This window comes from Homo sapiens, chromosome 9, assembly GCF_000001405.40.
Source record: "Homo sapiens chromosome 9, GRCh38.p14 Primary Assembly".
Classification (NCBI taxonomy): Eukaryota; Metazoa; Chordata; class Mammalia; order Primates; family Hominidae; genus Homo; species Homo sapiens.
In genome coordinates this window covers 35,436,372-35,456,060 of record NC_000009.12, presented here as the reverse complement: position 1 = coordinate 35,456,060, position 19,689 = coordinate 35,436,372, and the positions used below count along the sequence as shown (strand labels likewise).

Genomic DNA, 19,689 nt, shown 5'->3' with positions numbered 1-19,689 from the left:
AAAAATGGCACTTACTAAAACCTCCCTTAACTATCTTCCACCTTATCCAGAGAAGCTGCTTCTTTTAGAAAATCAAGCAAAACAACTAAGCCAAGACATGTTAAAAAAAAAGTTTGAAAAGAAAGCTGTAAGGAAATACAAGGGAAGGGATTATTAGAAATGAGTTTTAAATTTCTTTTCAAAGAATTAATATGTCCATATGTTCAATTCTTCTACTTTTAAACTTCCTCTTTAAGCAACCTTTTTCGATTATATACTCCACCCTGACTCATTCTGATCACCTGCTCCACCCTACATTCCAATCACCTGCTCCACCCTAACTCATTCCAATTACCTGCTACCTGCTACCTTCTCTGCCGTGACTCCCACCAAAGCACTCACCCCATCATTCTCTTTAGCCAATTGGAATTAGTTTAGCCTGTGCGGTCTAACCCTAGCCAATAGGGGAACAACACAGCAGCAGGGGCCACGTGAGCCAGGGATAAGAACCCCTTCCCCTCCCTTGTCCAAGTGTGCGCTCACCATTGTTCCATCTGTAAGGGCGCACCCTTCTATATAGAAGTAACTTGCCTTGCTGAGAATTAAAAAGAAAATTTTATATTTGAGTGCTATTTCTTTGTGGTACCAAAACTTTATATATAACACTCCTGACCTGTAATGTTTCCACTCAAAAGTCAGCTGCCTGAAGTACTGGAGCTCCATTGTATGTTATCTGTTTCTTTTCTCTTGCTGCTTTTAGAATCCTTTGTTTATCCTTGACCTTTGGGAGTTTGATTATTAAATGCCTGAGGTAGTCTTTTTTGGGTTAAATTTGTTTGGTGTTCTAAACCTTCTTATACTCAGATATTAATACCTTCTTCTACATTTGGGAAGTTCCCTGTTATCCCTTTGAATAAACTTTCTACCCATATCTCTTTCTGTATCTCCTGTTTAAGGCCAATAACTCTCAGATGTGCCTTTTTTTTTTTTTTTTTTTTTTTTTTTGAAACGGAGTCTCGCTCCGTCACCCAGGCTGGAGTGCCGTGGTGCGATCTCAGCTCACCGCAAACTCCACCTCCCGGGTTCACGCCATTCTCCTGCCTCAGCCTCCCAAATAGCTGGTACTACAGGCACCCGCCACCAAGCCCAGCTAATTTTTTGTATTTTTAGTAGAGACGGGGTTTCACCATGTTAGCCAGGATGGGCTCGAGCTCTTGACCTCGTGATCTGCCCACTTCGGCCTCCCAAAGTGCTGGGATTACAAGCGTGAGCCACTGCACCTGGCCAGATTTGCCCTTTTAAGGTTATTTTCTAGACCTTGTATGAATGCTTCATTTTTTTTTCTTTTGTCTTCTCTGGGTATCTTCAAATAGCCTGTCTTCAAGCTCACTAATTCTTTCTTCTGCTTGATCAATTCTGCTATTAAAATACTCTGATGCATTCTTCAATATGTCAATTATATTTTTCAACTCTAGAATTTCTGTTTAATTCTTTTTAACTATTTCAGCCTCTTTGTTAAATTTATGTGATATAATTCTGAATTCCTTCCTGTTATCTTGAATTTCTTTGCGTTTCTTCAAAACAGCTATTTTGAATTATCTGTCTGAAAGGTGACATATCTCAGTTTCTCCATGATTGGTCCCTGGTGCCTTATTTAGTTTGTTTGGTGAGGTCATGTTTTCCTGAATGGTCTTGATGCTTATGGATGTTTGTTGGTGTCTGGGCATTGAAGAGTTAGTTATTAATTGTTTGTATAGTCTTTGCAGCCTGGGCTTCTTTTTACCTATCTTTCTTGGGAAGGCTTTACAGGTATGTGAAAGGACTTGGGTGTTGTGATCTAAGCCATATCTGCATTAGAGGGCACCCAGAGCCCAATAATGCTGCAGTTCTTGCAGACTCATAGAAGTATCACCTTGGTGGTCTTGAATAAATCTGGAAGAATTCTCTGGATTACCAGGCAGAAACTCTTGTTCTCTTTCCTTTCTCCCTAACAGATTTAGTCTATCTCTGTGCCAAGCCACCTAGAGCTGTGTGTGGGGTGACACAAGCAACTCTGAGGCTACCACCACTGGGACTGTGCTGAGTCACACCTGAAGTCAGCACAGCACTGGGTCTCATCCAAGGCCCGCTGTGACCACTACCTGGCAACTGCCTATGTTCACTTCAAGCCCCAGGGTTCCACAATCAGCAGATGGTGAAGCCAGCCAGGCTTATGTCCTTTCCTTTAGTGCAGCAAATTTCCTCAGCCCCTGGGGTGTCCGGAGATGCAGCCTGGGAGCCAGGGACTGAAGTCAAAAACCTTAGAAGTCTACCTGGTACTGTATTCTACTATGGCTGAGCTGACCCTTAAACCATAAGACAAAGTCCTTCCCACTCTTCCCTCCCATTTCCACAGGCAAAGGAGCCAGTGCCCATGGCCACCATCAAAGACCTATAGAGGGTACTGCCAGGCTACCACCAATGTTCACTTAAGGCCCAAGGGCTTAATCAGCTTGTGTTGAATACTGTCAGTCATGGGACTCACCCTTCAGGGAAGTGGGCTCCCATCTGGCTCAAGGCAGGTCCAGAAATGCCATCCAAGAGCCAAGGCTGGAATCAGGGGCACCAAGGACCCACGTGATGTTCTACCCCACTGTGGCTGAGTTGGTACCTAAGCTGTAAGACAAAGTCCTTTTTACCTTTCCCTCTGTTTTTCTCAAACAGAAGTCTCTCACCATAGCCACCACGGCTGGGAATGTGCTGGGTCTCACCTGAAGCCAGCACGTCTAGATGCTGCCACTCTACAGTCTCACCTAAGGCTCACAATGTACTACCTGGGTATCGTTGCTGGTTCTTTAGGGCCCAAGGGCTCTTTAGTCAGCAGGTGATGAACCTGCCAGGACTGGGTCCTTCCTTTGAAGGCAGCAGGTTTCCTTCTGGTCCAGGGTGTATCTAGATATGCTGTCTGGGAGCTAGGGCCTAGAATGGGGGCCTCGTGACTCTGTCCACTGCCCTATGGTACTGTGGCTGACCTGGTCTCCAATTTGCAAGACAAAGGCCTCTTTACTCTTCCATCTCCTCATGCAGAAGAAAGGAGTCACTTTTGTTACTGCAAGCTGTGCTGCCTGGGGTTGTGGGAGGGGTAGCATTAGCACTCCCTTCTCTGCTCTGGCTGGTGTTTCACTAGGTTGTGTGCACCCACCCCGACCCCCTATGTCCACTGGCTCTGAGCTCAGTACAGCACTAGGGCTTGCCTAGGAATGGCAGTCTTTGTGGCCTAGACTGCTTTCAAGCTTGTTTAGGACCCCAGAGCACTTTAGCCCAAGGTGGTGAGGCTTGACGAAACTGAAGTTCTGACTGCTGGGATGGGCGATTCCCTTCTGGCTAGGGTTGGTCTAAATGCTCCCTCTATGGGTGGGTGTCAGCAGAGTTCAGCTTGGTTTTGCTTTCCACTATGACAGAACAGCACTGAGTTCAATGCAGGGTTCCACAATTGCTGTGCTCTCCCTCCCCAAAGCTTACAAGTTCTCTGCACCATGCATGGCCACCAGGAGATGGGGGAATGGTGGCATCAGCAATTCAAGATTGTCTTCAATGCTTCTTTTGGTGATATGATGTTAAAACCAGGTATTGTGATTGTTCGACTCATTTTTGTTTCTTATGAAGGTACTTTTATATGTGGATAGTTGTTAAATTTGGTGTTTTTGTGGGAGTGTGTGTGGGGGGGGTGATTAATAAAGACTTCTATTCAGCCATCTTGTTCCACCTGTGTTTTTGTGTTTCGTTGTTGTTTTTTATAGAGATGGGGTCTCACTGTTTCCCAGGCTGCTCTCAAACTTCCAGGCTTGAACAATCCTCCTGCCTCGGCCTCCCAACCTGCTGGGATTACAGGTGTGTGCCATCACACCCATTTGAAGACATCCTGTTTTGAAGACAAGCCTAGGCTAAATGACCTAGCTTACTGTCTAATGATGTATGTTGCTAATGTTGTCAAAAGCATATTTGCCCATGTTACCTTCCTTAATTCTTGACCATGATTGTCTTCTTCATTAAGAAACTAGGAAATGGAACTTTGATCAACTGCTGAAAACTACTTACTCCATAATAGAAAGAGAAGTATAATGAACGAATACTAGATTCTGAGCTGAATGAACCTTCCTAATTTTCTAAAACCCCTTTTGCTAGATCCAAAGGATTTTGAAAAGGATCTGGGATGTTTCCCATAATAAAGAAAAAAGGCAGTTTATAATTCAGATATTAATGATAAGAGTGTACAAAGAAAAGGTTTTTTTTTGAGTTTTCAGAGTCTAAATAATAGAGTAAAAATAAACATGAAAAGTTATGAGATCAAGTGTAGGCATTACAGGAACTGCTCAGCTATGCAAAGAAGCTGTTTAAGAGAGGAAATTAATCTGTCTATAACTAATAAGAATAAAGGCAGCTTATATCAGACAGCATAGAAATAATTTATTAACTAGTCTTCAATTTAAACATCTATTATCAAAGCTGATTATTATATATTGCAGTGCTTTTCAAATTTCACTTCTTAATAGAACCCCCTTCTATTTTTACAACTGAAATTTCATAAAATAGATAAACATGAAGCTGTTCTTTTTAAAGCAAGAACTTCAAAATGAGGAGGATAGAATAAAATCCACTTGATCTTCCCTATTCCCACTGCACCAGACCTTAAGACTCCTCTAAGAAAAGAGTTTGAAAATCATCAGTTCAAACAAGGTGTTCTATTAGTCTAAGTAAGGTTTTATTAAAGTGGTCATGAGTAAAACTGATTATGAGAAAATAAAAATATGTCTTAATTTCTAAACTGGGTCCTTGATCCATTCTTGTACCACTAATCAAAGCATGATATCTTTTTAAACACTTTGTGACTATTCTTCCTAACAGGCGTAAGCTAGACTCTCTTGTAATTTGTCTGTTCTTTTCTGCCTCAGATCTTAATCTCTGGGATCCTAAGACTGCTTGAGACTTTTTTTTTCTGGTTTTCCTTTTTATTTAATCAAAGACTGGTGAATAAACATAAATACAGCACAATTACTTCAGATCATTCTTCATATCGTATACACACAAACCCATGAACATAATCTGAAAGAAACCTGTAGACAGCAATGAAATGCATACAGCTTTTTCTTCCCTCGCTCAAAAAAAAGTTTAAACACACAAACTTAGAATCTCATCAGCACACACTCTCGTGACAAATGATTCAGACATAAATAGTGGGTGCAAAGAAACTATATGCTAACATATGAATAACCTTTGTTAATGAAAAAACAGAAGCAGCCATAATGATTAAGATACATTCAGTTACCGATAACTAGTTGTGCCCCAAAGGGCATTATCAAAAGAGAAATCGTGCTGCAAAGAAAAGCAATATATATGTACACAATGAGAAAATAAACTGCAAGATTAATGCATGCATATTTAATACTGGAAAAATCACAGTCCACCAAAATTTCTGCACGTTTGTTATAAAAGCCCTCTGCACTCAACTAAAATTAAAATGATCTTATAAGGATAATACTTGTAAAGTTTAAGTCTTCTCAGCCACAGAAATTGCAATGGAAATAAATGTTCAGAGTCATTTTCAAAACAAAATCAAAACAAAAATCTATTCATCCGATGACATGCAAGATACACTGCTCTACTTTCCCAATGACTAGGGAAAAAAAAACCTCAAGTCAATTTTTAGTTTGCAGATGATCAAGAATTTTGTATTCCAGCAGGAGTTCAAATCTTTTGGATCTTCTCGCCAACAACTACTGGATTTTCTTTTCTGATTTTCTCAGCGGCATCAGCTTTGTAATTTTAAGAGCAATTGTGTAGATCTGAGTAACAGTGTACACCACAGTAAACATTTCTACACCGCATTCAAACCTAGTAAGTCCCACTTTCTTCCTGCACATGAAACAGAGATTCTTTTTTTGTTTTGGTTTTTCAAGAGACTTGCTTTGCTCTTCAGATGGCTGCTGTGCCATGTCTGATACTGAAGCCTGCAGATCTTCTGTTTCAGGTACTGCTTGTCCACAGATGTACTGTCCAATTGAGAAGATGCTACAGATTCTGATAAAAGTGACTGATTTGATACAGGGCTTGGCTGCATAGATGAAGATGTAGAGTCTAATGTTGACTGGGCTTCTGGGACACTGCCATCTGTGCATTGAACTGGTAAAGATTCAGAGGTTGCAGGTTGGCTTATTCTACCATTACTACTATTCAGTCTTTGAAGATGTTCTTTATAGCATACTGAACACGTGCCATTTGTACGAGGGTTTCCATAAAATCCGCAGCCAGTGGAACAAAGCATAGGTACTTGGCTGTGATTAGTTTCTTGAGCCATGTTCCTCCATTGCACACCAACAAAACCTCCACAATTTTCTGTTTGCTTCACCTCAGATTAACTTCACTTGAAGCTGTGCTTGAGACTTTCAAACAGCTAAATTCTGAACTGGAAATACCATTTCTCCTGTGAAAGGAAGGGAAGTATGTCTATTTGTAAAGAAACAAAGAAAAAAAAGTATTTAACTTACCCAGAGTACAAGGACATTCATGAGATGGTCTATCTGTGTTCGTTTAAAAGTGGACTTTCCACTATTCTGCATTAATTTGGTATCTGGCCCTAAATAAAACAGGAAGATATCAGATATTAGAATCACTGAATATACTCAGAGGCTTGGAATTGGCTGAACTGTACCTTTATGATAATCTAATCTAACCACTTTCCAATGCTAGAGGATAAAGCCCTAGAGAAAGGCTCACGGTTTTCAATAACTCAAAAAACGGAAAATTTTTTCTAAGGATAGTTCCAATGACTTCTGTAAAGTACATTCATGCAGATCCCTCTCTTTGTAGCACCTCAGACAGTCTCAACTTTCATAGATGCGTTAAATTAGAAGAGGAGTTGCAAGCTTCTCTCTTATCACCATCTGGTTTATTTAGCTTAGAGAAGGAATTTTCTGATAAAGAGATCCCCATCATCTTTTGAGAAAGCTCACTGCTGGCTCAGGCTATACTGAAAGTTTCTAACTCGGAATGGAAGAAACGAAAAGGCAATGGCAGTGATTTCTTCTGAGGTGGAAGCAGGGGAGCTGAGACTCCTCTGGAGCTGAGAGACAGAGATTCCATGTTTCTTCATGACAGGACAGATGGTAGGCAGAAGTAAGGAGCTTTTAATGGCCAATGGGACTAGAGCTGGAAATTACTAATTCGAGCTATGGCTCCAGAGAAAATGTAAGAGGTTTAGAAGAAACTGTAAGCAATAATTTCTCTGGCCTTTCACCATCTGACCATTATTCTAACATGTGTTCTGATAAAGGACAGAAAAAGGAATTTCATCAATGTTTACACATGGGGAGCTGGGACATCTCTGATATGTGGGCAAACAGTGGGAGTGCAGAGCATAAGCTATGACATTCTTTCCTCTTAAGCATTCCTTGAAGGGCTTCAAGATATGAGAAGTTTGGCTCATAGCCTGGAAGCTACAGGGACCATATCTTCTAAGGGTCCTTAGACTGACCTTACCCCAGGCTTCAGGAAGAAGGTAGAAATCATCACAGAACTTGGACATCATGTAGCAGGAACAGCAACTCAATTCCATGCAAACACCTCAAAATGCTTTTAGGTGGCATTAGTTCTCTGCTCAGAGCTTCCCAAAGATACTCACTACCATGTAACCAACCTTGGGAAAACTTAACTACATTTGTGCTGGTTGGCAGCCCCACTGTTATTGCTTTCAGGAAAAAAACCTTTCGCTGAAAAATGAGCTTTTATGAGTGGCAATTGTGTGTGAGTAGCTGCTGAAGTACATACAGTGAAGAAAGTAAGTCTAATTTAAGTCTTTTGAGTTTGGGAATTAGGTAGCCTAGTCATTGCCACTCTAGATCAAGAACCAATGAAGGAAGTTCCACCAGGGCCTCCCTAGACGCTTAAGCTTCTCCCTAGGGATTTGGTCTCATTACTTTTCACAGAAGCAAGGAGTCTAAAAGCCTCATGTCTAGGAGTAGATGCTCTAGAAGGGGAGCTCTGGGAATCTGAGTTGAATAATATTCACTGTGGTAAATCTTTCTTGATATTTCCTACTATGGTTGTTGTCACTGAGAGAATGGGGCAGCACAGAGGCTTCCTCCATTTTCCTGAACCACATCATAACCCAAGAAAATCTCTTACTAAATATAATGAATTGTGGTTCTAAATAACATCTCAAGAGGGGCCACTATTAATGATCCATATGTGACTTTTCTGTGGCATGAACTTTTTACATTATATTTTTCTCTATAATAAGCATTGTGTCCATCCTCTCTTCATGGGAATAGTTCATATGTATACTCTCCCCCTTCACATGGTAATTCTATCATACTTCCTCTGTATGTATACCCTCTCCTGTGTCCAGATCTTGTTAAAGAGACTCATGGATGCCCTGTGGTTTTGGAACACAATGCCTTCCTCTAACAAAGGTAGAACCGATATGTTGGAAGTTCATTGCTTGGAAACAGAAGGCACTTTTTTTCCCTAAGAAACAAGGTTTTTTCCCACAAATCTCCCATCCATCCATCCATCCATCCTTCTACCTGCCTATCTATCTCAAAACCATAGTGTTCTGAAATATATCTGAGTGTCATATCCACATCCTGAAAACTAAGTACCCATAGCTCAGCCATGAATGGAATTTAGCAGGCTGGGGGCCAAGGGAAACGTACCAGTGTAGATCACCAAGCCATAGCACCAATCTGTATTCCTGATGTTGCAGCCTCAGAGTAGCAGCTTGTCATGGTCCAGGAAGTAGTTTTTCCCCTTATAGGTCAGTATTCCTGAGAATTTGTCCAATTTGTTATTGGGAGCCTCACATCTCACTTCTCCTGCAGAAAAATGAAGGTGTAAGAGTTCTGGATCTCTAATCTTAGGCTTTTCCTAAGGATGAAAGGAGACTTAATAGAAAGGAGGAAATAAAATTCTTCTTTCAAAATACATACACATCTTTTTCCTATCCTCTCTCAGTTACTGCCCATTTCTCACCAGCTCCTTCAAGAAAGGCAGACAAAGGTTTCTGGGAACTAAAGAAGAATAATTCTGTATGTGACATGGATCATCCAGAGAGAGAGAAAACCCCACATGATGGTGACATCAGTACTGCCAGATCATAAGAGCTCTGAATCTGAAGAAACTCAAAAACGACTCAAAGCGAACCTAGTATTTTTTTTCAAAATGGAAACAACTTGACATTTTCCTGATTAGTAAAGTAAATATGCCCTTTGTAAATGTTTAAGTAATACTAAAATGGTAAAGAAGGAAGTAAAATTCATTCACTGTCTTGAGAAAAGTGCTATTTACCTTTTGAAGTACATCCTTCTATGTTTTTTCTATGTAAGTACTCATAAACATACCTATATTTCCAAAAACAGGTTTATGTTATATACACTATGCAGTCTTTTGTAAATTGTATTTTTCTTTTAATTACATGTTGTATTTTTTATATTTCAATAAATATCAACTTGCATATTGTTGTAATAAGTTGTATAGAAATCACTATGGATGTACCATACTTTATTTAACCAGTACTCTACTGATGAAAATTTAGGTAGGAAAACCCATTTCCTAACTCACCATTAAAGGTAGACAGAAGCTCCAGGCGATCTTCCATGTCACTGGTAACTGAGATGGCCTGCTTCACTTTCAGGTTGGTTTCACTAGAGTAAAAGACAAGTGACCACTGTACAGGACACAAACAGAACTGTTGTACGGGTGCAGTATCTCCTACTTTTTCATGGGGTTTTAGAAAATAGATGTTACCAGTAGAGACTGGGCTATGAGTCTGAGCTGTAAAAGTCACTCCCACTGCTTCTCTCTCAGTATTGAGGTGAGATGGCTCTTCAAGGAAGCTGAGTGTTAGCTCACTCACTCCCGTCTCTTTCCTCTCACTCTCTGCAACACACTGCCACTACTTAATCAACTCATGAGATCTAGCTGGTCAGGTGCTCTAGAGAGGCTGAAGAAACATCATAAACAACCTGGAGATAGTACCTGCTCCCTTCAAGAATAAGGAGTATGCCTGTAATCCCAGCACTTTGGGAGGCCGAGGTGGGCGGATCACGAGGTCAGGAGATCGAGACCATCCTGGCTAACACAGTGAAACCCTGTCTCTACTAAAAATACAAAAAATTAGCTGGGCGTGGTGGTGGGCGCCTGTAGTCTCAGCTACTAGGGAGGCTGAGGCAGGAGAATGGCATGAACCTGGGAGGCGGAGCTTGCAGTGAGCCGAGACTGCACCACTGTACTCCAGCCTGGGGAACAGAGCTAGACTCCATCTCAAAAAAAAAAAAAAAAAAAAAAAAAAAAAAGAATAAGGAGTATGGCCAGACATGGTTGCTCACGCCTGTGATCCTAGCAGTTTGGAAGGCCAAGGCGGGAGGATCACTTGAGCTCAGGAGTTCAAGGCCAGCCTGGACAACACAGCGAGACCCTGTCTCTATTTTTTTTAATTAAATTTAATTTTTTAAAAAAAGAATAAGGAGCAGATCCTGGTAAAAACTTGCACATACCTCCGAGGAAACATACTCCACACCTCATAAATATTTATGGGGCCCATGACAGGCTCTTAAGTAACTGCTTGCTGGAATGCATAGACAAAAAGAAAAATGGAATCCATGTTTCAAAAAATTGTGTGCATCAAGAAGTACAGTTGTAGGAATGAAGATCAATACAAAACTCTCCAGGATAAGCTTTCTGCAGATGGCTCTATCCTCCTAAGACCTTAGCTTTTGGATGTTAATAAATGTCTACCTTAAATCCTTTATAGAACATGGTATTTTATCAGTGAATAGATATGTTTATATTCACATTTTTTCCCTTGGAAACTTTGAAACTGTACTCTGAAATGTTACAGTTCTGTTATCCTCTTTCCTGCTACTCAGCCTTATAGAATATGGCCAGAGTGTCTCCAATTTAGAGATGGAGAATGTGGGGTTTATTTGCCCTATTCTGTGCCCAGTGAATGCTCAATTGTTCCTGTCAAGAGCTCAGTCTTAGACTTGAGGGTCCCAACGATGTGGTGTCCATCTTCTCTTATCTGGATATTTCTAGGCTCTCTGGCTCACCTATTCAATATTCCATCTGAGAATAAAATTAATTCCCTGCCTAATGCTGTCCCTCAGTGAGAGACCACTCTAAGCTGGCTAAATCATCTTAATGGAGCATCAGGAGGGAACACTTACCCATCCAGGTCTGCTGTCTCTATGTATGTCAGACTATATGGCTCACTGCTAGAGAGTAATAGTATATCTGCCTGTAGTCAGAAAAGTCAAAAAAAGTCAGGAAAGCAGGAAGGTGGGCTGTTAACATTACAGTGTGACAAAAGCAGTCACCTTAGGAACAGATGTTCAACCTAAGCATTTTACAGACACTGATTTACTTTCTTTCACTGCTATCATACACCCTCTCCCAAAGCTACTCACACTTTCCCTGTAACTACAGTGAGAAATAGGCAAGAACAAGCTTCTTACTGCAAGAGCTGTTGATTTCTGATGCAAAATGGGCAACAAAGGTCACCAAAAGGAGTGGTAGCAGAAGTGCTCCAAGAGTCCCTGGTACCCACTCAATCCAAAAAAGAACAAGTCACAGCCAAAAGAGGTACTCACCATGACAGGCTGATTATTTTCTAGTTTTATTATATCTCCCACTTGAACATTCATCCATTTGTCCTCCTTTATCCTGTAAGAAAATGACCCTTGAATATCTGCTCTGAGAATTTCCCCAAGGCTCTGCTTTGACAATCAAGATGATTCCCCACCCTCCAAAAAAGGCTGAAAGGAATAAAGACAAGGCTCAAACTGTTCTGTGATGCATCCTTGCTGCAATCAAGAGTGGGGCCCATTTCTCTTGACTTCAGGCTATAAGGGTTCTAAAGCCCTACAAAAGTACCTGTAGACATATAAGCACATAAATTTTTTTTTTTTTTTTTTTTTTTTTTTAGCCAGGTCTCGTGGCTCATTCCTGTAATCCTAGCACTTTGGGAGGCTGAGTGGGAGGATTGCTTGAGGCCAGCAGTTCGAGACCAGCCTGAGCAATACAGCAAGGCCCTGCCTCAAAAACATTAAAAAAAAAAAGGTTTTTAAAGTAAAATAGTTCCAATGGTAAAGTGTGTAAAAGGAAAAATTAAAGTCTTTTCTATTTCCAGCCTTTAGTTTTGCTCCCCAAAGATAGCTGCTGTTAATAATATTTTTGTATTTATTTCTAGAAAATACCAATCCATGTAATCACATATAATACACATCTAAATCACATTTAAAAGCCACGTACTAGATACATAATTTTCTGCACTTTGCATTTTTCATTTAACAATCCATCTTGGAGAGCACTTATAGAAGATGTAGCTCATTCTTTTTGATAGCTTAAATGTGTTCTGTCATAAGGTCACATCAATTTTATCTACTTACGTTTTGTTTTTTTTGAGACACAGTCTCGCTCTGTCTCCCAGGCTGGAGTACAGTGGCATGATCTCAGCTCACTACAACCTCTGCCTCCTGGGTTCAAGTGATTCTTCTGCCTCAGCCTCCCGAATAGCTGGGACTACAGGCTTGTACCACCACACCCAGCTAATTTTTGTATTTTTAGTAGAGATGAGGTTTCACCATGTTAGCCAGGCTGGTCTCGAACTCCTGACCTCGTGATCCGCCTGCCTCAGCCTCCCAAAGTGCTAGGATTACAGGTGTGAGCCACTGCGCCTGGCCTTTATCTACTTAGGTTAAAATTAGATTATCTTTGATCCTCAAATCCCTACTTTCCATAAAAGGCAGCCTGGCAATATGAGCAGATTCTACAATAATGGTGGTTCTCTGCCCTCCTCTTTTTTTTTTTTTTTTAACCTCAATTTCCCCAAATACACAGGGTCCATAAATCCTTCCTCTCTGAGAAAGGACTAAGAAGAATGTACATATTGCCACAAGCATTTTGGAAACATGAGCTATATCCTTGCAACAGTTATATTATGCCAAGCACCCAAAGAGCGGGAAAAAGTCTACAGTCCACTGTCTGTTTTGTCTCTGAATGCAGGATTGCTATCTGCAGGGCATGACATACATCACCACTTTGCCAGCTACACATAGGCATGGGTATTCCTAGAACACCTTTCCTAAGAAGACAGCTGCTTTGAGGAGGGCCAAATTTTCCAAAAAAGTCCTTTTATATAAATCCACTGTTTCTTTTAAAGAATTTTCTGATAGTACTGTAGAATAGTAGCTATAAGCCTTGGAGACAGACATCTGGGTCTTTGTTTTATTTTGCCTTGACTTGACATTCACTGTTACTCTGGCATTCTATCTTCCACGGTTGTCACCAGTAAAACATAAAGAAGAACAAGTGCTGTCACATTCTAGCTTCTCCTGGAGATATAAAAATTAATAATTTCTTACATAAGGAGCTGCCAAACTATTACCAATTTGTTCCTGGACATTATAACAATCATGTGTCCCAGATTTGGGAGAGGTGAAGACATTCCTTACTGATTTAAAATACTCAATCCTGTAGTCCAAAACAGTAAGCATGTTCTGAAGCTGTTCTTGCCTTGGGTTGGGGAGGGATTGCCAGTCTTAATAATCTAATAATTTGAATTTCAATTTCTCCCACCAGAGGGACAAGAGATAAAGCCTTATGATTTTGAGAGTCAGTGAGTTGAAACTAAGAATTTCTCATAAAGTCAGGACCCTTGAGGGGCAACACCATTAGTGAAAGAGTGGTCTAAAAAAAATCGGCTCACTGGCAAGAAAGTTTGTCTATCTTAGTCTGGAGGGTTGTGGGGGTCAGTGAATGGAGGACTCTTCCCTGAAAATCTGTAACCTCATATTGGATGGGGCTCAAATTTATACTTCTTTCAAATTAGGTATCAGCAGGTAATACCCTTGAGTCAACTCACAGAAACAAACACAAACCCTTATAGAGGGACACAACCTCTCCTCCAGCCACTTAGAATTCCCTTAAAGTTCTACTAATGATGTGTTTGTAAACAAAATTATTGAGAAATGAAAAATGACAAAAATTACAGCTTATAAAATAGACAAACTTTTAAAATAGCAGCTCTGTTTATACCCATGTGTTCTACAAAAAGAAAGCTGTTTTCTGGAACACAGACTGTTTCAACAACCAACCTCACCTCTGCATATTAATCTAATCAGATACTCGGTAGCTTACAAAGTCTAACCAGGGCCTTGCCTGTTAACTCCCACCTTAAAATCCCTCTGTGACAAATTCTTCAATAATCTTATAAAACCCAAGTGCTCAAGCTACTTGGGTGAGTTCATTTGACTAAATCCTTTTGGTCAGCAATTCCTAATATACTCAGTTTTGTCTTTTCTTTTTATTTCTATTTCTCTACTTTCCTTTTTTTTTTTTTTTTTTTTTTTTTGAGACGGAGTCTCTCTCTGTCGCCCAGGCTGGAGTGCAGTGGCGGGATCTCGGCTCACTGCAAGCTCCGCCTCCCGGGTTCACGCCATTCTCCTGCCTCAGCCTCCTAAGTAGCTGGGACTACAGGCGCCCGCCACTACGCCCGGCTAATTTTTTGTATTTTTAGTAGAGATGGGGTTTCACCGTTTTAGCCGGGATGGTCTCGATCTCCTGACCTTGTGATCTGCCCGCCTCGGCCTCCCAAAGTGCTGGGATTACAGGCGTGAGCCACCGCGCCCGGCCTCTACTTTTCTTTTTAACTACAACTGACTTTTTTGGCGGTATCTTATGGGACATTTCAACAGGTCAAAACTCTTGAGGAAACAATCCATCGTGTGTAAGAATCAGCAGACAAAATACACAACAGGATTAGCTGCCCAAGCTCTTGAGATGATAGAATTATATGATAAATACTATAGCTATTGGGTGTTCAGTAAGGCCACCATGATAAAGGCTGGACCTCAATCCTGAACTCCTTCAGGTTTGCACTTTCTTGCAATCATGCTTCTGCCCACACTGGTCACTTTTCCTTTAACACAATCTCTACTTGTTGAATTCTTCCCCTTCCCTTAAGGCCTAGTACAAACACTACACCTCTTCCAGAAAGTCTTCCTTGATTCCTTTAACCAGTTATAATTGCATATTTTTATTAATTCCCATAGTAATTTTTTGTACCTCTTAGGATAGTCTTCATATTTTGCCTTACATAGGAATATGCCTGCCTTCTTCCATTCCTGCAACACTTTAGATAGCTATGACCAAACACTACAGCAGTGGGGCCAACATCAATACTCTGTTTAGATTTTTAACAGAAAAGATGACCTGACCAAAGGCTATAGTAGAATGGACAAAAACCATGTCAGAATCCATTAATGTTCTAAAGACAGATGTTTCCATGCTAACTACCACACTAATAATATCACTTGCATAGTAATATCATGTTATAAAATATTAATTGCTTTAATATATATTATTTCCTTTCTATTTTCACAAGCATCCTCTAAGGTAGAGAATATTATTTCTATCTTATAAAAAAGAAAAATGAGGCCCACATAGATATCTGAGGTGACATGACAAATTCAGGGCATGCTAGATCTAGAAACAAATTATTTCTATGTCTGAGGTTCTTTTCATTGTCCTGAGCTAAACCCAACCCTTTTTCAGGACTGGTCCTACCTAAACCAGCTTCTCTAGAAGAACTTACTTGCCATTCACCAGTAGCAGAACAGGCTGGTTGTTGACTCGATCGTCACTTTGATGCCTTTTCTAAAATCACACAAGAAAATGTTCAGGAAATAGACCTATAACAAACTGCATATAGAAGATTAACATTTTGAAATATTACACAATGTAGTTCCCTTCTTTGTAATTCTCCTTTTCCCCTGTCCCAAGCCCTTCTTTCCTTCAAACTAGGCCAAGAGGTTGATTATCTCTGGGAAGCTGGGAAGAGAGGGCAGGAAAAGAATCCAGGGAGAAGAAAGAGACAAAATTTTAGTTTTAAATATCAAAAGCAAAAAACCTGGAGGAATGAGAATAACATATCAAAAGCTGCAGAGGACACAATCCAAATGATGGGCAGGGCTACAGAATTCTGTCTGCCTGGGTAGGTGCTGGGAAAGCTGAGTATTCTCAAGCAGACTCCTACCCTACCTCCAACCATGGTTGACATACAGAAGCTTCTATAGTGGCTGAGGAAAGAGGCCAATATTTAAAGATCAAATAGAAGGGAAACAAATAGAGGCTATGTCCTGATGCCAGGATTCACATAAATATCTTCCTTCCAGTTGAGATTACTCCCTGAGTAAAGGGTAGGACTGGGAGTGGGGCAGAGAGAATCCTGAATTTGTCAGAATTCAAAATTGTCCAAATATTTATCATAAAGAGACTGAATTCTAAGCCAGAAGTAATTGGGTTACCATGAATTGGTAAATTAATTTTTGGTTCTCACTGGAGAGAGTTAAGATGGGGTATGCATGTGGTTATAAGCTAAACTGAGTTCAGTTATAGAGAAATAAAGTTATATTTTCGTACATCTAAGTTGTGACTGAAAGGTAAACCACAACATGCTAATCCTGGGTTTATAGAGATAAAGTGCTGAGGAAACAAGGTGCTCTCAAACTAGGCTAAAAATCTATTCTGGCAAAATCAGAAAGACCCTCTTAGGGAAACTGCAAGCAGGTCTATAGGACTGGCTTTCCAAATCCTACTAGTAGGCATGGTACTGGGTCCTTACTCTCACCCCTCTATGCTGGGCCTGCTGTAAGAGGCAAAGAGGAAGCCATGCAGCACTCACTGTGAGCCAGTTTCTCTTTCAAAGCCAGGACAGAGGGTTCCTAGCTGTGCACACTTAACAGAATTGAAAGTTGGAAAGGAAAATAGAGTTCGAGAGGAGACAGGAAATGTGGAGAGAAGAAAGAGAAAGAATAGGAGAGATGGAGCAGGGGCAGATAGAGGAAGGCAAAGGGAATATAGAGTAGGAGAAGGAGGAGCAGAGGAAAAAGGATGAGAACAAAGCTAGAAAAAGCTAAGAGAGGAGTAAAGAAAGAGTGGGTTATTAAAGATGGAAGGAGGCTCAGGAGAGGGGCTAAAAGTGGTGGCAGTAGGAAGATAGAGAAAGGCCTTGTTTTGCCCCTTTCTGGCCATACACAGACCACCAATCTTGGGCCTAAAGGTACTGCATATTACTCTGGGATGAATAAGGAAAGAAGAAAGGAAATATCTCTTTCCATTCAGGGTTTCTTGTTAGCACTAGGTAGTTCTGGGAAGTCCTTCATGCCCACAGTCTGACTAGGTGCAGTGAGGAAGTAGAGGCCCAGGAAGCTACTTCACCAGGTCATCGATGGCATCTTTCACAGCTGTTAATGGACAGCACCACCATCAGGGGTGTTATAGTTGTATACCATGTCAAGGAGGAGATCTGGGGAATCAACTAAGAGAGGGAAAGGGAGAGGATCTTGGGTCAGAAAACTGAAAGGATAATACATTCCCCCCCACCACATCCCTCACCCTCAACATCATTTTCACCTCCATTTGTTCATACTAAATCCAACTATCCTAGTTGCTTTCCACTGTTGTATCTTTCATATAACCCCCCAAATATAAGTAAACATTTCCCAAGGGAGGATAAAAGAATAAAAGGCTATAAGTTGCTACCTATCTATCCTGAACCCCACTACCTTTGTGTTGATGGCAAAGACCCATTTCTCCTTTGACAGTGAAAAGTAATGGGTATGGAGAGTGGGTAAAAGTAGATACAGAAAAACTACATGCTCTCCCACACCCTTCAGTACAAGGAGGAGTGAGATGACCTGTCCCTGTCTCCCAATTTGGGCCTACCCTGCCCTGCTTCCTGTTCTTATGCTGGCACTCATATTCTAAACCATTCTAAACCTTCTTTAGCACTCCCATATGTTAATTTTATGTCAAGGAGGCTGGGACAAGAAGGAGGAATAGAGTTGGAGTTGTGGTTGGGGTGAAGAATTCTGTAGCCCCCTATGGTCAAACTGAACTGTGGCAATACAGCCATGATGAGGAGCTCCCCTTCCTTGGGATGTGGTGACCTTGTCCCTTTCCTTGTGTAGAGGCTTGCTATACACTAGCTAATCCTGACCACAGCTATTCTAAGGGACTGGTCTGAGACTCCAGCCATCCACGTTCCTGTTGTCTAAAGAGAGAAGACATTTCCCAATTTAGGGAGGAGAAAAACTGATTACACAGCCTGACCCCAGAGAGGTTTATAAAATACTCTGTGAAAAAGGCCCCCAAAAGCAATACCTGTAAAAATAGCAAAATGAGGAAATATGCATTTGCAAGTCTCTGGAACTGTTCAAATAGGTTCAGGGGCAGGAAATTAAAGACACTATATTTTGAGGTCTTGATGGCATTGTTCTGTGAGTAAACAAACAAATAAACAAGAAATACACAATTAGACAAAAGACAGCTCAAAACTGGGTTGATAAGCAGCTGCGCCTACTTCCCAGTCTACCCCTAGAGAGGCCTAGAAGGTAGAAAGATGGCAAGACTGTTGGGTACTTGGGGGAATGTATCTCTGCCCTGATAGAGTTCTTGCTTATTGATGTTATTGATAGTAATAATGATAATCAAATCAACAGCAATAAAAACTTACATTTATTGAGTACTTACTTCGTGAAAGGCACTGTTCTAGCATTTTATATGTAGCAACTCATTTACTCCTCACAACAATCCTATGAAGGGGGTACTTTTGAGGATGAGGAAATTGAGGTACTGCATCCAGAGCTCTCTAACAAAGCTTTTCTTAGCTGAGCAAACTCAGTTTGGTGTGCCTTTCTGTGTTTTTTGCAATGTTGAAGGACGTCAGATGCTAAAAGCAAAAAACTGTCTTTCAATCCTAGCCCACTGAAGGTTTCTATAGGGGTCACTATCAGCATTGGAGAATCATTTGGCCCTTAATTGTCCTAAGAGGATTTAAAGAGTTTTGGCTTATATCTAAGCTACTATTTTGCTCAGTGAAAATGGGAACTTGTCTACTTCCTCAATTCTGATCTCAAGATGTTCACAGGACCATCTTACTTTCTACCTTGGAGTCTTAAATCATTTGTCCTAAGATGTCAGAGCTCAAATCTAAGAGCTCTAAAAGCAGGAGAATAAGACCAAATAATTCCCTAAGTTCAGGGCTCATCTCCTACCTCTTCCATTTAAAAGGACAGAACAAAAGAATAAAAATAACTAATGGATACTAGGCTTAATACCTGGGTGATTAAATAATCTGTACAAAAAATCCCCATGACACAGGCTTACCTATGTAACAAACCTGCACATCCTGCACATGTGCCCCTGAACTTAAATACAAGTTTGTTTGTTTTGTTTTTTTTAAAAGAAGAACCTACCTATTTCCTTAGGGATGAGAAGCTGGTCAAATAGCTTAGCACTTAGGAGTTTAGAGATCCAAGCCAAAACTAAGATTTCCTTGGTGTTCTCTCCATGATTTTCCAAATAATAATCAATCAGACAGTATAGCATTTCTCAAGGCTTGCTCTTTTCACAGCCTTATGCTGGACTATACTAGTGGAGGCTGAAAAATAATTAGACAGGATCCCTTCTGGAGAAGCTCATGGTCTGTCTTGAACGAAGTTCTAGTAAAATGATCTCTACAGGCCCTTCTCATCATGAGAGTATGTAATTCTAACATGGAAATAGCTTTCTTTGATCATAAGATACTTTGAATTTCTCAGTGTTTAAGTCCAGATGGCTGTGATACTTGGACCCAAAGATCTTCTGAGAGGTGGCCTTACTGATGTAGCTAGC

At 40.7% G+C, this 19,689-nt stretch overlaps 2 pseudogenes across 3 annotated transcripts in view; both read right to left on the bottom strand.

Moving 5' to 3' along the window:
- The window catches only part of ATP8B5P (ATPase phospholipid transporting 8B5, pseudogene), a 76,275-nt pseudogene that overhangs the window by 26,969 nt on the left and 29,617 nt on the right, over window positions 1-19,689 (bottom strand). For 2 of the 3 annotated variants that reach the window (NR_003582.1, NR_110320.1), the window contains exons 4-11: window positions 18,178-18,291; window positions 17,233-17,332; window positions 15,608-15,669; window positions 11,604-11,676; window positions 11,181-11,251; window positions 9,574-9,656; window positions 8,670-8,828; window positions 4,946-6,592 (exon numbers count right to left, since the gene is read on the bottom strand). The product of NR_003582.1 is annotated as an ATPase phospholipid transporting 8B5, pseudogene, transcript variant 2 (transcript). Of the gene's footprint in view, window positions 1-4,945; window positions 6,593-8,669; window positions 8,829-9,573; window positions 9,657-11,180; window positions 11,252-11,603; window positions 11,677-15,607; window positions 15,670-17,232; window positions 17,333-18,177; window positions 18,292-19,689 lie in introns of those variants that run through there. The other variant, NR_003581.2, reaches the window with a different exon arrangement.
- ZFAND6P1 (zinc finger AN1-type containing 6 pseudogene 1) lies at window positions 4,953-6,421 on the bottom strand (annotated as a pseudogene).